This window comes from Homo sapiens, chromosome 6, assembly GCF_000001405.40.
Source record: "Homo sapiens chromosome 6, GRCh38.p14 Primary Assembly".
In the NCBI taxonomy this organism is placed as follows: domain Eukaryota; kingdom Metazoa; phylum Chordata; class Mammalia; order Primates; family Hominidae; genus Homo; species Homo sapiens.
The window spans coordinates 28,261,742-28,280,194 of NC_000006.12; the positions used below are offsets into that span (position 1 = coordinate 28,261,742).

An 18,453-nucleotide genomic window follows, 5' to 3' on the forward strand; every position below is an offset into this window, starting at 1 on the left:
GCACTTTCGGAGACTGAGGTGGGAGAATTGCTTACGGCTAGGAGTTCAAGAGCAGCCTGAATAACAGCGAGACCTAGTCTCACACACACACACACACACACACACACACACACACACACACACACACAGATGTTAGGTTGTGAAGGGAAGACAAGGGTTAAAGAAAGACATACACACAGAGGGCAGTTCAACAGGAAATGCAGGCTTTATGTCCAGCATAACACCTACAGAGGTGGGGAACCAGCCTAATGCCAGTGCCCACCACCGCTTACAGGCTGGGGTACTTATAGGCCTAGGTGGGAGGGGTCTGGGCAGTATGGCTTGCTGCTATGTACTGCTATGTGTTGGTAAGGTGTTCCCACGATGAGGCAGTTTGGCTCTTGTTCCCACAGAATGTGATGTTCCTTGCACTTTTTCCCAGCAGAATATGATAAAAGGCAGGCTGTTTCTCACAGCCCGAACCCCCGTGGAATGATTCACTTTGATCAAGGTCTGAGAAATGGTGGGAGACTTACAAAATGATGCAGTTGGAACTAACAAGAGAGAAAGAACTAGAAGAAGAATAAGGTAGTTGGCAGAACTCATGAGGAGGAGACCAGATCAGGAGGGACCACAAGGACAGGAGAATTAGCAACGAGAGACTGGCTGGCACCAGTCTTGGGAAAACTTCAGAGTGAGCTCCATTCATGGTCTATTAAAAGGCCTTTGTTGTCATTCAGTGATATGTGCCTGGCCCCTGAGACTTTAATTCAACACTAGCCAAACTATCTCATTTGGATAACCCCCTTTTCAAAGTTCAAAAGACTGATTAGCCCCCACAGAACTGAAGGTGAGGAAATGGGGTTCTAGAATCTGGCAGGGCAGTGTGATGTGGAAGGGCACATTTACCCTTCCACAGGATGTGACATGGCTGATACTGGACCACACCACCTTGAGATTTTCGCCAAAGGGTGTTGTGGCATATTGGTGATAGACATGCTGTTACATGTGCGTATTTCCATTTTTAGAACAAACTATACCACATGATACACATGGATTGACACCTTGCTCTTTTCAATTAATACATCCTGGAGATGTTTTATATCAATACATATGAATCTTTCTTTCTTTTAGATAATCTTGTAGTATTCCATTATATGAAAGCACCGTATTTTGTTGGATGGTTAAGATGTTTTTCTGTATTTTACTGTCACAGAGTACTATATTGAAAGCCTCTGTGGATATGTGACAGTATATTTGTAGCATATTCAACTAAAAATAGATGAATATTAGGTCAAAAAGAATCCTTTTGGTCATCTAGAAATGCTAACCTCAAAATAGAATTATTGAAACAAAGGGAAAATATCAGGTGCTTTCTATGTATTAGGCACTATGGCTGGTACTGAGGATAAACCAAGAAACAAGTTAGACTTGCTCCTTGCCATCATAGAATTTTACATTTTACTGGGGGAGACAGACTTATAAAAGCCAACAGGCAAAAATTACAAATTACAGTATGATGTGAAAAAAGTAACGGGCTAGAGACAGAATTGGGGGGAACTTTTTTGATATAGTGGTCAAGGAAAGACTAAGAATGCCAGATTTAAGCTGTGTGTGCTTTTAAATTTTAGTAGATATTGCAACACCACCTTCTATGTTTACACACTCACCAACATCATCACCAATATTGTATTTTCAAACCTTTTGATCTTTCCCAATCTAAGGTGAAAATGGCATTTTATTTGTATTTATTATTAAAAGTAAGATAGAGCATCCTTTCATAGATGTATTTACGAGTCTTTTGAAATTCTTTTGTGTGTATGTGAACTGCTCCTCTGATAACCTTTGTCCACTCTTCTATAGCGTTGTTGGTCTTTTTTCTTAACTGGTCATAAAAACTCTTTAATAAATTAGATCTTTATCAAATATCTTGCAAATATATCTCCGTGTTATTTACCTTTGACTTGTTTTTCTGAGAGACACTTGACTGTAATGCCCGTTAAAGCCTAAAAAGGTTTTCTAACAGTGGCCAAACAAATATCTTTATCTTTCTCGCTTGGAAGAAGATGCAGCTGAGAAACTGACTTCTAAGTAAGCCAAGGTAAGATCGGTGAGCTTCTTTCCCAGAAAGATAAAATACACACCATGCAACAAATAGTATGTCTAATGCCTACAGTGGAATACTCATGATAGCTTTTTTGCTGTAGTTATGCTTAACTTGCCATTTAATGTTGCTATTAGAGAGGGACTTGGCCAATAAATCTGCCTTAAAAGAGATTTCAAGAGTTGGAATATGACTGCAGATCACTGTTGTCTCAGGGGAGCTAATAAAAAGGGTTACAACTTTTCCTTTGAAGTAGTTTTGCCCAGAGTATGTAGCTATGGATTGTGAAATAGAAGAAAAACAGTATAACGAAAATTTTGTATTACGTTTACATTTCAAGAAACCATCAGAATCACTTTATTATTTCACTCTGCTCAAGCAGGAAGTTGAACAGATCAAATAACTTGTCTTAGCCACTAGAGTTACACTGAGTTTTATTCAGTGCTGAGAAACAGCCTAAGAAAGCAAACTAGTGAGGCTGTGCTGATTTACAATTGATACATTTTATGAAATAGCATTAATGTTCTCACAGACCATCATTATATGACTTTGTGGAATTATCAAAAGTAGTGTTTCACAAAATATAAAAATCTCCCACTGGCATAAGGGGTCTAATGTGTATTTCATGTTTGTTTGTTTTAAAGTTCTGTAGCACAAGGGAAGGTGTTTCTTAACCTTAGCCACCAGCAATTTAGGGAGTAAGAAATCATACATTTAGCAAAATTGCTCTTTTTATTCTTAGCCTAACGAATTCAGCTAGACTTTAATCTGAATTTATGGGGGATATGTCTAAGATTTCACCATCAAATATAAGGGAGGTTTTTGGTATATTTGAGATGTATTTATTTTTGCCTTATAAAGGAATCATCCATCTATTTATTTTTTATTAGGAGTTTCTGCTTTTAGTCAGAAATATATGTTGAGTTTTATGAAATGACATTGTAGCATTTGTGGAGATTATATGATTTTTCTTTATCAGCCTAATATGGGTGACTTAAAGTTATAGGTTCCTAATATTAAGCTATAAATTTGTTAGATTCATTTGTAGGCTTTGATTGTTTAGAACGATCACTGGACAAATAACTTATTTTAAAACTCAGAGTAATGAATGAGACCTTGCTGTATACGTATAAGAAGCAGAGAGAAGAGCAGGAAGCATCATTACCAGAAGATAAGAACTGTAAATCTTATGCTGGAGCATGGTGACATGACTCATAATGCGATAGCATCTCTACTGATAATATGGAAAAGAAAGTTCTTATCTTGAATATCGTATGAATGGACCTGGCAGAAACATGATCACTATAGTTTACAAAAATAAGGATAATCCTGGAAAATGAAAACCTCAAGTTTGAAAATTGATTTGTATTTTAGTATTTTGTCTCTCCTGGTGATAACAGTGTTTTGAGTTATTCTCACCTTATCTACCCCTACCCCTCCCAAAAGGTACAAACAGACTGTTTAAATGAAAAATGCACACCTTGAAAATTTAAAAAAACTCTTCTTTGTCTAGCTACTTTAAAGGTTTTGATTTTCATGGGATATCCAGTGCAATGGCAATAATCTCAGCCTTGACAATAAAAGTGACAGATTTAAGAAACTAGTCATAGTAGGGAATTTTAGAGGGGGAGTAAATAGGATATAGTATTTACTTTCTATTTAAATTAAATTTTCTTTATGTTTATCCCTTATATAATTTTTGAAAAGGTCCTTTTCTAGATATTAAAAAATAAGATATATGAGTTTTCCTCTCAAGAAAGAATATTGACTTCTAATTAGTAACACATATTGACTAGATTTGTTGGCCTTATGAAAAGTTTTAAAGTAAACATATTTAATTTTTACTTTAAAAATATGCTTTCAAAGATACATTCAGACACTTAAGAAGAAAAGATAACTGCTTGTGATAATGAAACTGGTTGTTTTTTTTCTGTTATGATAATTTCAATGCTTGAAACACTGAATAAATTACACGTCAGTACAATGTTTTGTATATTTAATGATATTTCAAAGCTTCTGTCAACTGATCAGTTAAACACAAAAGTTTGTTCAGATTTTTTAAAGGTTTTTTTTTCTTTCTTCCAACTTTTGTTTTAGGTTCAGTGGGTACATGTGCAGGTATGTTACATGAATAAAGTGCATACTGCTGGGGTTTGGTGTACAAATGATTTTGTCACCAAAGTGGTAGCATAGTACCTTATAGGTAACTTTTCAATCTTCACCTTCCTCTCACCCTCCACCCTCAAGAAGTCCTTGTGTCTGTTGTTCCCATTTGTGTTCATGTTTACTGAATGTTTAGCACCCACTTATAAGTAAGAACATGCAGTATTTGGTTTTCTGTTCCTGTGTTAATTGGCTTAGGATAAATGGCCTCCAGCTGCATCCATGTTGCTGCAAAGGACATGATCTCATTCTTTTAGCTGCATGATATTCCATGGTGTTATGTACCACATTTTCTTTTTCCAGTCCACCACTGATGGGCATCTAGGTTGATTCCATGTTTCTGCTATTGTGAAAAGTGCTGTGATGAACATACACATGCATGGTCTTTATGGTAGAACAGTATATTCCTCTGGGTATATACCCAATAATGGAATTGCTGGGTCAAATGAGAGCTCTGTTTTAAGTTCCTTAAGAAATTTCCAAATTGCTTTCCACAGTGGCAGAACTAATTTACATTCCCACTAGCAATGTATAAGCATTCAAAGAGTTTATCTTATTCAAAAACTATAAAAACCCAGTTTGTGATACTGTGGGCAAGAGAGACTATTTCTGTTCTCTGTTGTAGAATTTATTTTGATAAAGTGATATCTGTTGCTTTTATTCCCCCTGAAACTTACATTGATTGCAAAGTGTTGTTGATTTATTTTCTCTCACAGTAATAGCCCTAATTTCTTCTTACCTTAAACCTTTCAATCCAAACGTATGTCCATTGTTTAGTTTAATTTTCGAAATACTTTGACAATTATTTTTGCCATTGTGTTTGATGAATTTCTAAATTGCGAAAAATGGCGAAGTATGTGTGTTTTATTTATGTGAGCAAAGTGAAAATGTTGGCTGTTTGTGATAACACTCAACGGAGCTGGCCTGTTTTTACATGAATAAAATAAACATCCACTTTAAAATGAGAAAACAAAAACAAAAACAGAAACAAAAAAAAAACCCCAACAATCTTAGCTCACAACGAAATGACCCTCCCAGCCGTCCTCAGCAGGCAGCACCCATGTTAGTCTCCTTCTGCGATGCCTAAGCGGCAGCACCATCGAGCCAAGGTCCTCCAGCGTTCCTAGAGCGGAGAAGAAAGCGCTCCGAAGAGCTAGAGCTGACACTCGGCGATGAGCTAAGACGCTGTTTCAGAGCGTTTGGGTCCTCTGAGGCCCCTTGACCAGGTGAGCGGACCCTGGAGCTGGGCCCCGGGCTGGGGCGGAACTGCGGCCTAGGGGCCTAGGGAGCAGCTGCTTCCCGGCGGGTGCAGAGAATCTTCCCTCGACCGAGGGGGCGGGGTCCGTAGCGGAGGTGTCGGCCCTGGGGCCTATGAGAGTGATGAAGCTGTGGATCTGGTAAACAGAGTACAACCTTCTGCTGCATATTTTTCATCCATTCAGCGCAATTTTAAGTAGATATTAAAGGTAGGCGCCACCGAGAAGGTAATATTTGAGCAGAAATCTGAAGGAGGTGGGTGGAAAGACCTAAGTGGCTTTTGCGGTCAGGAACTTTCTAGGTAGAGGGAATAGCAAGTGCAAAGGTCTTAAAGCAGGAGCTTGCTTGGCATATTTGAGGAATAACGGGGAGACCAGAGCGGTTGGAGCAGTGAACAAAGGCGACCTTTGTAGGGAATGATGTCAGAGAGATTGGGGTATGGAGAGGAAGAGTGTAGAGGAAATGAGAACTGTATCGTGTAAGGAATTTTGTCTTTTTTTGGTGTGTGTTTTTGGAGGATTTTGAGCAGAAGAAAACATGATCTGACTTATGTTTTAAAGCTTCTTTACTTGGAGACTCATGATGATAATAGATTGTAAGTGGGCAAGAATGGAATCAAGAAAACTTAAAAGTTAAGAGTAATTTTTTAAAATTCCAAGTAATTCAGGTGGGAGATAAGGATATCTTGAGCCAGTGATCAGATTATGATCTGCTTTGAAAATAGAGACAATAATATTTGCTACTGGGTCAGATGTAGGGTGTGACAGTAAGAAGGCAAATATAAATCCAAGGTTTTGGGCCTGTGGGTGCAAGAGATACTGGAGAAAAGATCTGAGGTTTAGCTTTGGTACCTCGTGTAAGTTCTTCAACTCTCCCCGTCTCAATTTCCTTCTCTGCACGAAGAAATTAGGAATAGTGTCTTCTTTATAGGGTTGTGTGAGGGTTAAATAATTAATATATGTGAAACATGTAGTATAGTTGTCCTGGCTCATTGTTTTATTATGCTGAGACATGAAGTGTGAGTGGGCATTAACAAGAAGAAAATTGGAGGGTTGGAGGGTGGTCCAAGCAGAAGGAATAAGCTGTGGAAGGGCCAAGGAGCAAGAAGGAGTATTGCAAATTTGATGAAATAAAGTACTTTATTAGATCAAAAAACAATGTAAACCATATTAAATGTTTTGAACTTGATCCTAAGGGTAATAATCAGCCATTATATGTAACAGGCATAGCAGGGACATAATAATATTTCATATCCTCCTTAGAATGATCACTGTTTGCGTGTGGAAAATAGATTGGTGTCTCAGACCAGTCTGTTTGTCACAGTGGTCTAGGTAGGAGAAGACAATGGCAAAGGGGATGAGAAGTGGATTGATTTGAGAGATATTTAAGCAATAGAATCAATAGAACTTGATTGATCAGATACATGAGATATGAAAGGAGGAAGGAATGGTCAGTTTTCTGGCTCAAATAGCTGGGTAGATGGAGCTCCTCCCAAAACAGTTTATCAAATTATTTATTATATATTGTGTTTGATATATTTAATCACATTATAGAAATGAACTCACCACTAATTCAGCCTCATACCCAGCCAGGCACGGTGGCTCATGCCTGTAATCCCAGCACTTCGGGAGGCTGAGGACGGTGGATCACTTGAGGTCAGGAATTCGAGACCAGCTTGGCCAACATGGTGAAACACTGTCTCTGCTAAAATTACAAAAATTAGCTGGGTGTCATGGCAGGCATTTGTAATCCCAGCTATTCGGGAGGCTGAGGGAGGAGAATCACTTGAACCCGGGAGGCGGAGGTTGCAGTAAGCCAAGATTGCGCTGCTGTACTCCAGCCTGGGCAACAGAGGCAGACTCCATTTCAAAGAAAAAAAAAAAACACATCATACCCTATATATACATATCAACATCATACCACATGTTTATTTATATACCAATACTGATATAGATACCAGTATATATATATGTATGTGGCATAGATATATACTGATATGGGTATAGATATCTCTATAGATATAATAATATGAATACAGGTATATATAAAAAATACGAATACAGGTATATATACCTAAACAATAATACGAATTATGTATATATATACATATGCCTGTATTTGTGTCATTATTTGTATAACTAGGGTATCTATATCGGTAAAGATAGGTAGAGATCTAGAAAGAGATTTACTATAGGGAATTAGCATAGGTCATTATGGAGGCTGGCAAGTCTCAGTATCTTCAGAGTGAGTTTTCAGGCTGGAGACCCAGGAGAGCAAATGGTTTAGTTCCAGCTCAAGCCCAAAGGCCTGAGAACCAGGAGAGCTGATGGTGTAGTTCCTGTCTGAAGGCCATAGGCTTGAGATTCAGTAAGAGCTGTTTTAGTTCCAAGTCTGATGGCAAGAAAAAAGCTGATGATTCAGTTTGAAGCATTTTAGACAGGAAGAATTCTCTTACTCAGGGATGAGTCAGCCTTTTTGTTCTAGTCAGACTTTTAACTGCTTGGATGAGGCCCACCAACATTATGGAGGGCAGTCTGTTTTAGTCAACAGTCTACCAATTTAAATGTTAATCTCATTCCAAAAACACCCTCACAGAAACATCCAGAATAATGTTTGACCAAATATCTGAGCACCCTGTGGCCAGTTAAGTTGACACATAAAATTAACCATTACAATACCAATCTTTTATTTTCTGGCTAATAATCATCACTTTTTTTGAGACAGAGTCTCACTCTGTCGCCCAGGCTGGAGTGCAGTGGTGTGATCTCAGCTCACTGCAACCTCCACCTCCTGGGTTCAAGTGATTCTCCTGCCTTAGCCTCCCGAGTAGCTAGGACTACAGGCGTGTGCCACCACACCCGGCTCATTTTTTGTATTTTTAGTAGACACGGGGTTTCACTGATAATCATCACTTTCTTGGACTTTTTTACTTATATTAAGAATACTAGGAATTGGCTTTTTAAAGTTTAAGTTCATTTTGACTAAGAAAAATAATTATCAGCTGGGAAATGTTAACTATATACACATTCAGGAATATATAACAGCAAACTGTTTGGAGGCTAAGCCACTGATTAAGTGAGCCTTCTCCCGTTCTCCCACTTACCGCATGCACATTGATTCAAAGGCATGTGTCAGCAGCTGACAGATGGTGTTTCACTGATCTATAGGGATACTCAAGCATAGTCAAAATCAAGAATGCTAAATCCCCACATACCAAGGGCCTGCCCCAAAGGATGGTAGGGAATTGTCTGAGTTCATTTTTGACATGTTGGATTTGAGAGGCTTCTGTAGGGTATCCTGGTCCCAAATAGGCAGAAGGAAATTCAGGTCTGACACTTGAGATATCTGACCTGAAGAATAAGGAAATCATCAGCATAAGGACAGTAATTGAAGTCACAAAAATACTTATACTCTACATTAGCCCTTTCTAGTTTCTGCCCTATCTTTCTTGTTCCATTCAATGTATTACTTTTTTGAAATTTGTCATTTATGCTCACTCTCCATTTTCTCATTTCCTATGGCAGGCTAGCTATTCTCACTACCAAAATTACCTTCACAGAGGTCACTAATGACATCTTTGTTTTTGAATCAAGTGTCTATGCCAGGTCTTAGATTAATTCACCATCTTATAGCATTTCACACTCTTGAACACTGTGCTCATATCATTTCCCTTATAAATCAGTGAATTCCTTCTGTTCTTTAGAATTATCTCATTTACCTCAAAACTTCTGTGAATTAGGTATTATCTTCATTTTACAAATGAGTAAACTAAGTCCAAAAGGATAAGTTACTTGCCCCAGGTCACAACATGTAAGTGACAGGGCTGGATTGGAACCCAGGCCTGTCTAAGGCCCAGGGTCTTTCCACCATTCCACATTTACAGAAATAGACCTCCTTGACCTTCTGGATACTATTGTCTTTTTTCTCCTCCTACCTTTCCAGTTCCATCTCACTTCTGTTTCTTACATGTAGATGTTTCCCAGGATTCCGGCTCCATATAACGTTTTCCCAGCCATAACTAACTACTACACTGAACATCCAACAGCTTTATGGTGTCTTTTTTGTCTGAAAAAACTTTCTCTATTTCCTTGTCTTTCACTTGTCTTTTTTCTTTTCTTTTTCTTTCTTTCTTTCATTCTTTTTCTCTCTTTTCTTCCTTTTTTGATATAGGTCTTGCTCTGGTTGCCCAGGCTGAACTCAGACTCCTGGGCTCAAGCAGTTCTCCCTCCTCAGCCTCCCGAGTAGCTTGGATTACAGGCATGTGCCACCATGCCTGGTGTCACTATGTTGCCCAGGCTGGACTCAAACTCCTGGGCTTAAGCAGTCTTCCCACCTCAGCCTCCCAAAGTGCTGAGATGACAAGTGTAAGCCACAGTGCCTAGCCTCAGTTATTTTGAGGGCTACAAAATGGTGATTTTTCAAATCTATTATTCCTTCTACATTAGATGGTATTCTGTAAGATAGTTTTTTCCTTCTGTATGTATGTTTAGAAATGGTTGTTTTAGAGAGAAAAAATGGATAATAGGAAATGTATAAACCCAAGAAAATGTTACTGTTCTTGTTAGCAGTACTATTACTGTTTCTGTCACTCTTGTTACTATAATTTTAGGAGTGTCTCTGAAGATACAGTCCAAAGAAAGTTCTCCAAAACAAGGAGAACAGTCTGAAGCTGGGGATGGCAACAGCATTGGTGAGTGCCCATTCCCTGGCTCCCCTGAATCTGAAGAAGGAGGGGCTTCGGGTAGTGAGGGAGGATCACTACTCTACTTGGGAACAGGGATTCAAGCTGCAAGGAAACAGTAAAGGCCTTGGACAGGAGCCATTGTGCAAACAATTCAGGCAGTTGCGTTATGAAGAGACCACAGGACCTCGAGAAGCACTAAGTCGGCTCCGGGAGCTCTGTCAACAGTGGCTACAGCCCGAGACCCATACCAAGGAGCAGATCCTGGAGCTGCTGGTGCTGGAGCAGTTTCTGATCATCCTGCCTAAGGAGCTCCAGGCCCGGGTGCAGGAGCATCACCCAGAGAGCAGGGAGGACGTGGTTGTTGTTCTGGAGGATTTGCAGCTGGATCTTGGAGAAACAGGACAACAGGTGGTAAGGGTCAGATGTGCTCTTTTTCAGGAATGCAGGAATTGAGATCTCTGGCCAGACAGGTGGACATGGGCTCATCAGCGGAAGGAGAATTACTAAGCTTTGATTCAGTTTTTTTCCAGTCTAGCTGTTAATTTCCTTAGGTCTTACCTCAACCTTACCTGGCCCTTGCTTGGAGAAAACTGAATGTGCACCAGATTCCCCATCTTCTTTTCTTTGCCCCTCTGGGGTTTCTCTTTCTTCTCTTTTTTAACACCTAGGTGTTTTACTGAACAGCAGTTTCCTAAACCCACATATATCTAATTATGCCTCCATATACCTAATTGTCCCTAGGACCCAGACCAGCCAAAGAAACAAAAAATACTTGTGGAGGAGATGGCCCCTCTGAAAGGAGTACAGGAACAGCAGGTTCGGCATGAGTGTGAAGTTACAAAGCCTGAGAAAGAGAAGGGTAAGAATTGGATTGCATCTTCTGTGTGTGAGACGTGGTGGACTGTGCCTTTCCCTCTGAGGTTGTGCTTAGCACCCTTGTATTTTGTTTTTTGCTTTTGTTTTGAGTCAGGTTTACTGAAGCATAATTTATATGTAGTAAAATTCACTCTTTTTAGATGTACAGGTCAATGAGTTTTCACAAATGCGAAATAATTGTGGTCTAATCAGGACCACTATCAAGAGATAAGAGATATCTATCACCCCAAATATTTTAGCTGAACAAAATAGCAAGAAAAGGGTACAAAGGGAACCTGGACCTTCACCTTGCTCTTCTTCCTCTTACTGTAGGGGTGAATAAAAAAAGCAGTGCCAGGCCAGCTACTTGGGAAGCTAAGGGAGAAGGATCACTTGAGCCCAGTTCAAGGCTGCAGTGAGCAATGATTGTTGCACTGCACTTCAGTCTGGGCAACATCTCTTAAAAAAGCAAATAGTGGCCAGGCATGGTGGCTCATGCCTGTAAACCCAACACTTTGGGGGGCCAAGGTGGGTAGGTATACGAGGTCAGGAGTTCAAGACCAGCCTGGCCAAGATGGTGAAACACTGTCTCTACTAAAAATACAAAAATTAGCCAGGTTTGGTGGCGGGTGCCTGTAATCCCAGCTACTCGGGAGGCTGAGGCAGAGAACTGCTTGAATCCAGGAGGCTGAGATTGCAGTGAGCTGAGATCACGCCACTACACTTCAGCCTGGGCGACACAGCAAGACTCTGTCTCAAAAAACAAACAAACAAAAAAAAAAACAAGTACTGCTAGTTTCTTAATCAAGGCAAAGAAAGCCACATGCTTCATTACTCATTTTTTAACATTTCCTTCAAATTATTGTAAATGGCCACTATCTTTCATTTCTAAACGTCACCTGGATTTTTTTTTTTTTTTGGTTCTATACTTTCTTTTTTGTTGTTTTTCTATTGAGACAGGGTCTTGCTCTGTCTTCAGGCTGGAGTACAATGGTGCAGTCATAGCTCACTACAGCCTTGACCTTCCAGGCTCAAGTGATCCTCCCACCTCAGCCTCCCAAGTATCTGGGACTACCGGTGTGTGTGCCACCACACCTGGCTTTTTATTATTATTATTTGTAGAGACAGGGTCTCCCTCTGTTGCCCTGGCTGGTCTCGAACTCCTGGTCTTAAGCATTTCTCCCATTTGGGCCTCTCACAGTGCTGGCATTATAGGTGCAAGCCACTCGCCCAGCCTCCTTTATTTTCTTTGTCACTGAAATTCTTCTTCCTAATTTTTGCTCCTTACATTTTTTCATTTCTTCTTTTTTTTTTCTGTCATAGAACTAATTACATTATATTGCAGTTTCTAGTTTGCTTCTCTTTTTCTCTTGCCAGACTAAAAGGGAAGGGGTTTTGTTTTGTTTTCTGAGTCAGCTACAGTCCCTGGCCTAGTGTAGACCCTCAATAAATGTCTGTTTGATGAATGACTGGTTTTATATGTAAAATCATGCTTTACATGCTACCTATTCCTCTGTTCAATTTCCAAGTCAGCTTCAAATTACCTTTCTTCTGGGAGCATCCTGAATAAAGTAGCTGAAAGAAAGGGGCCTACCTTTTCTCAATAGCCTTGCAGAAATGAATTAGCCTTGCAGAAATGATTACCATGTAATCAGTGATGGGTGTATAGTTTAAATACAAAAAGTAAATGTGGCTGCTGTAATCCCACTACTTTGGGAAGCCAGAGTGGGAGGATTGCTTGAAGCCAGATGTTTGAGACCAGCCTGGGCAACATAGTGAAACCCTGTCCTCTACAAAAAATAAATAAATAGCTAGGCGTGGTGGCATGCAGCTGTAGTTCTAGCCACTTGGGAGGCTGAGGCAAGAGGATTGCTTGAGCCCAGGAGTTCAAGACTGCAGTGAGCTATGTGATTGCACCACTGTACTCCAGCGTTGGCAACAGAGCAAGACCATGTCTCAAAAAAAGTGAATGTAATGTCAGTAGACTCTTGAAAATGTCCCTTACCCTCTGGATCTGTTAAAAATGTTATTTTATATTCAAAGTTCAGGTTGTTTTTTGGTTTCATCCTCTCTTGCTTTTTTAAAGTTGTATATGTGATTATGTCATTACTGGAAGAGTCTTATTCCTTTCCCTTAATCTCTCACTCTTGCCCCCTGCCCCTGTGTAGGACTGAATACTTCATTCTGTTGTAGAGGGTCTTTGTACACAGTACATTATTACATTATTTAATTTATTCACTCCCCACCTGTGACCTTCCTTTCTCTGATGTCTCCTTACTAATTCCTTCACTTTCACTTTTCCTTTCAGCTGTCATCCACTCTTTCCTTTTTACTTATCTGCTGAATTAACTTGCTCACACTGATTAACCCTCTTTTGTTTGTTATTAGTGCTGCTTAGAGTCTTTCTTCTATTTTCTCCATCCAGCTTTCCTTTTACTCTCTCATTCTGACTTTGCATCCCCAGTCATGCTCCTAGCCTTTGAAGAGTTATCCTTAGCTACAAGAAAAACTGGTAAATAAAAATATAAAATGAAACAAAACAAAAACTTCACATTCTTCTCACCCGTCTGCTTGTGTATCTGAGCTTAAGTTTTCTCTATTTTCATTTAATTTCACCCTTAGGACACAGGCCATTTATTTAGTAAACATTTGTTTAATGTCTGTTATGTACCAGGCTCTGTGCTAGAGAAAACAAAGTCTGCTCTGCATGTGCTTACAGTCTCTTGGGGCATTGTGCATCAGGGGTGCAGGGAGCGACAGACATGAATAAATTATCATAGCGTTGAGATTAAAGCTCTGTTGAACCACACAGGAGAGCAGTTACTGCTGTCCAAGGAGATTAGGAAAGGCGAAGGCATTTTTGTGAACTTCATGTTATTGTCAAGGTCTTATAGTACATTATTCTTTCTTTATGGATGAGGACACAGAGCCCAGATGATTTACCTTACTTTTTTAAGATTACACAGTTAGTGATAAAATTGGGCACCACATCTACATTTCTTCATTTTCAGTTAAAATGTCGTCCCTTTCTTATGGGCCCTGGGGGCCTCAATTAACCTAGCTTTTTTTATTTTCCATGTGACAAGTTATCTTCAAGACTGTACAGCCATGCCCTTTAAGACAGTTTATTTGCTTGCTTGCTAGCTTCTCTGTGTGTGGTATCCCATGATAAAATTTAAACTATTTAAAATAAGTCACCTCCCACCAGAATTCCCCATCTTTCCCCAAAGACAGTCACAGTTAACAATGTCTTGTGTACCATTCTGTAACTATTTTACGCAATCACAAGCATCCACAATGTTTTTACTTTGCACACATGGCTTCATTATATTTTTTTTTCCTTTTAGTTGCAGATTCCTTTCCCCAAGCATCAAAAGACAAGTAATTGGTGGTATATATTTAATATTGCAGGTGAGGAGACAAGGATTGAGAATGGGAAGCTTATTGTAGTAACAGACTCTTGTGGAAGAGTAGAGTCATCTGGGAAAATATCTGAACCCATGGAGGCTCATAATGAGGGCTCTAACTTGGAAAGGCATCAGGCCAAGCCCAAAGAGAAGATTGAGTATAAATGCTCAGAACGTGAGCAGAGATTCATCCAGCACTTGGACCTGATTGAACATGCGAGTACACACACGGGAAAGAAACTCTGCGAGTCTGATGTGTGTCAGAGTTCCAGTCTTACAGGACATAAGAAAGTCCTCTCTAGAGAGAAAGGTCATCAGTGTCATGAGTGTGGGAAAGCCTTTCAGAGGAGTTCACACCTCGTCAGACATCAGAAAATCCATCTTGGTGAGAAGCCTTATCAGTGCAATGAGTGTGGCAAAGTCTTTAGCCAGAATGCAGGCCTTTTGGAACATCTCAGAATTCATACTGGAGAGAAACCTTATCTATGTATCCATTGTGGAAAAAATTTTAGGCGCAGCTCTCACCTTAATCGACATCAGAGAATTCACAGTCAGGAGGAGCCCTGTGAGTGCAAGGAGTGTGGAAAAACCTTTAGTCAGGCCTTACTCCTCACCCACCATCAGAGAATCCATAGTCACTCCAAAAGCCATCAATGTAACGAGTGTGGAAAAGCTTTCAGTTTGACCTCAGACCTTATTCGACACCACAGAATTCATACTGGAGAAAAACCTTTCAAGTGTAACATATGCCAGAAAGCCTTCCGACTAAACTCACACCTTGCTCAGCATGTAAGAATCCACAATGAAGAAAAACCCTATCAGTGTAGTGAATGTGGAGAAGCCTTCAGGCAAAGGTCAGGTCTTTTTCAACATCAGAGATATCACCACAAAGACAAACTGGCTTGATGAGGTGTTCTCTCCTTGTAGAACATCAGAGAAGGCACATTGACTAGCAAACAGCACTTTAGGAAAAGTCACCGTAGCCCACTGTGGCATCAGAAAATTCTTGGGGGCTGAGTTGGAGGCTCCCTGCCTCTATTCTCTCTCCTTTGCTTTCCTTGAAGTCAGCTTTGGACCACAATAATTTCACTGTAGATGATATGCTAGGATCAAAGTTAAACAGCATTCTTCACTGCAGGACATCTCAGAGCATGTAACATAACTGCATGATTATATACTCTAAGCAATAGAGAGCTTCATGACTGAGTAAGAGTTTTGAAGTCAGCAGTGAATCAAGTGCCCACAGATTTGCAGGCTTAAGCAGAACAAGGGAAGATTGATATTTTTGGATATGCTATAGCAGCTTTCTCCTATGAAATAAAACTGATGATGTTTGGAAGTATACTACTCTCAAAGGTGTCTTTAAAGTACAGGTTAATGGTGAACATTTTCCCCCAGTGGCTTCACCTCATTCCTCCCACTGGCCTTACCCCTTCCTTCCCCAGTGGAAGCATTTTCAAAAGCAAAGATAATTTTCGCTGGTGAACTTCAGAACTTGCCTTCAGGGTTAGCTTCATGTAATTTTACCATTTCCCATCCCCATTCCCCACCACATTATGTCAAGATTCAAGTTATAAATTAACGTTTTACTTAGACTTTGAAAGAGATTTCATGAGTAATTTGAATGAACCTTGCTGAATTAATCTGAATAGCAACTGTCTGACTTGATAACTCCAGTGCCAGTATAGTGGCTGCTGCATAGACACTATTCAGTAAATGTCTGATGAAAGAAATTGGACTTTTTCCCTTTAATACTGATGATGCAATTTTGAAATGTTGCTTGTTCTGGAATACTTCGGAAGTTAAACAATAAAGTCAGCTTGGAGAGGAGATCATGATCTTTATACTGTGAATAGCAGAATGTCACAGATGAAGAATATTAAAATTAGGGGCGTCCACTCCAAAACATATCACCAGAGTGACAACTTCAGCCCTCAGCCTCTGCAATCCATATATATCCTGGTCTTGGGAGTCCATAGAATACTGTTTCCTTCTAATAAAGGTTTCAAACAAATCCCTGCAGATTTATTTAAAGTGTTTGTGGAAGATAATTTTCCATATAAGCTGTGCAGTATTCTATGGTATATGTCCCCATTGTTCATCATTTACGTCATTTACAGTTTGATCACCATAAACAATTTTTCAGTGAACATCCTTGTATATACAACTTTGCCTACTTACAGAATTTTTTTCTTTGTTCAGTTCCCATAATGAGAATCAATGAGGCAGAAGGTAGGCATATTTTCTAAGGCTTTTGATGCATTTTCCAGAATGCCCTCCAGAAAAGTTACACTAATTTGTACACCCTGTTAGCAGCCTATGATAATGCCCAATTTTCTATACCCACGTAAACTGGGAATTATTCTTTTGAATATTTGACAATCTGATGTGTACAAAATGGTTTGCTTTTTTTAATAAACCATTTTTTAGAGCAGTTTTAAGTTCTCAGCAAAATTGAGAGGAAGATACAAAGATTTCTCATATACCCACTGCTCCCATTCATGTATAGCCTCCCCTATTATCAACATCCCCTCCCAGGGTGACATTTGTTACAATTGATGAACCTACATTGACATATTATCACCCAAAGACCATAGTTTACATTAGGGTTCACTCTTGGTATTGTTCATTTTATGGGTCTGGACAAATACATAATATCGTGTCCACCATTATAGTTTCACTGCCCTAAAAATCCTCTGTGCCTTACCTATTATTCATCCCTCCCTTTTTCCAGCCCCTAGCAACCACTGACCTTTCTACAGTCTTTATAGTTTTGCCTTTTCCAGGATGTCATGTATACAGGTTGAGTACAGCTAATCTGAAAACCCAAAATCCAAAATGCATTAAAATGTGAAACTTCAGCACCAACATGATGCTACAAGTGAAAAATTTCATACCTGACCTCGTGACAGGTCATAGACAAAATCCAGTCAATACTTTGTTTCGGCTGGGTGCAGTGGCTCAAGCCTGTAATCCCAGCACTTTGGGAGGCCAAGGTGGGTGGATCACCTGAGGTCAGGCGTTTGAGACCAGCCTGGCCAACATGGCGAAACCCCGTCTTTGCTAAAAATATAAAAATTAGCCGGGTGTGGTAGCATGCACCTGTAGTTCCAGCTACTTGGGAGGCTGAGGCACGAGAATCGCTTGAACCCAGGAGGCGGAGGTTGTGGTGAGCCAACATTGTGCCACTGCACTCCAGTCTGGGCAACAGAGCAAGACTCAATCTCAAAAAAAAAGACTATGTTTCATGCACGAAAGTATTTAAACTGTATAAAATTAGCTCTATGTGAGTAAGGTATATATGAAACAAATGAATTTCATGTTTAGACTTGGGCCTCATCCCTAAGATATTTCATAATGTATGTATATATTCCAAAATCCGAAATTGGAAACACTTCTGGCCCCAAGCATTTCAGATAAGGGATACTCAACTTGTAGTTGAAATCATACAGTATGTAGCTTTTCAGACAGGATTCTTTCACTTTGTAATATGCTTTTAAATTTTCTCAATATCTTTTCATGCCTTGATAGCTCATTTCTTTTTTTTTTCTTTTTTTTTTTTGACATAAGGTCTCACTCTGTTGGCCAGGCTGGAGTGCTGTGGTACGATCTTGGCTCACTACAACCTTTGCTTCCTGGGTTTAAGCAATTCTCCAGCCTCAGCCTTCTGAGTAGCTGGGACCACAGGCGCACACCACCACGGCCGGCTAATTTTTTGTATTTTTAGTAGAGATGGGGTTTCACTGTGTTGCCCAGGCTAGTCTCCAGCTCCTGAGCTCAAAGTGATCCACCTGCCTCAGCCTCCCAAAGTGCTGGGATCACAGGCTTGAGCCACCGTGTCTGGCCAGCTTATTTCTTTTTAGCACTGAATAATATTCCATTGTCTGCATATACCACAGCAAAAGAAATATCTGTTAAAGGACTGTTATCCAAAATACAGAAAGAACTCTTAAAACTCAGAAATAAGGAAACAACCCGATTCAAACATGAGCCAAAGACCTTGA

At 39.8% G+C, this 18,453-nt stretch overlaps 1 protein-coding gene across 13 annotated transcripts, besides 2 other annotated features; it reads left to right on the plus strand.

Moving 5' to 3' along the window:
• Window positions 5,240-5,299: an enhancer, noted in NCBI's record as "active region_24352". NCBI's record gives its function as "activates an Ori minimal core promoter by ATAC-STARR-seq in GM12878 lymphoblastoid cells {active_cell/tissue: GM12878}" and the evidence as "EXISTENCE:reporter gene assay evidence [ECO:0000049][PMID:35858748]".
• Window positions 5,402-16,463, plus strand: ZSCAN26 (zinc finger and SCAN domain containing 26). Of its 13 annotated transcripts, none has more exons than XM_011514864.2 (5): window positions 5,402-5,712; window positions 10,113-10,193; window positions 10,281-10,598; window positions 10,929-11,046; window positions 14,454-16,463. In XM_011514864.2, the coding sequence occupies exons 2-5, from the start codon at window positions 10,179-10,181 to the stop codon at window positions 15,353-15,355; spliced, it is 1,353 nt and encodes a 450-aa protein (XP_011513166.1). In that variant the 5' UTR covers window positions 5,402-5,712; window positions 10,113-10,178; the 3' UTR covers window positions 15,356-16,463. The 13 variants fall into 13 exon arrangements, with proteins under 13 accessions (XP_011513166.1, XP_047275268.1, XP_024302306.1 ...); XM_047419312.1 differs by having other exon boundaries at window positions 10,281-10,595; XM_024446538.2 differs by having other exon boundaries at window positions 5,402-5,472.
• Window positions 5,444-6,008: an enhancer, noted in NCBI's record as "H3K27ac hESC enhancer chr6:28234963-28235527 (GRCh37/hg19 assembly coordinates)". NCBI's record gives its function as "activates a minimal SCP1, AML or CMV promoter by ChIP-STARR-seq in primed H9 embryonic stem cells {active_cell/tissue: H9 hESC(primed)}" and the evidence as "EXISTENCE:reporter gene assay evidence [ECO:0000049][PMID:30033119]".
• Window positions 16,464-18,453: the final 1,990 nt, after the last annotated feature.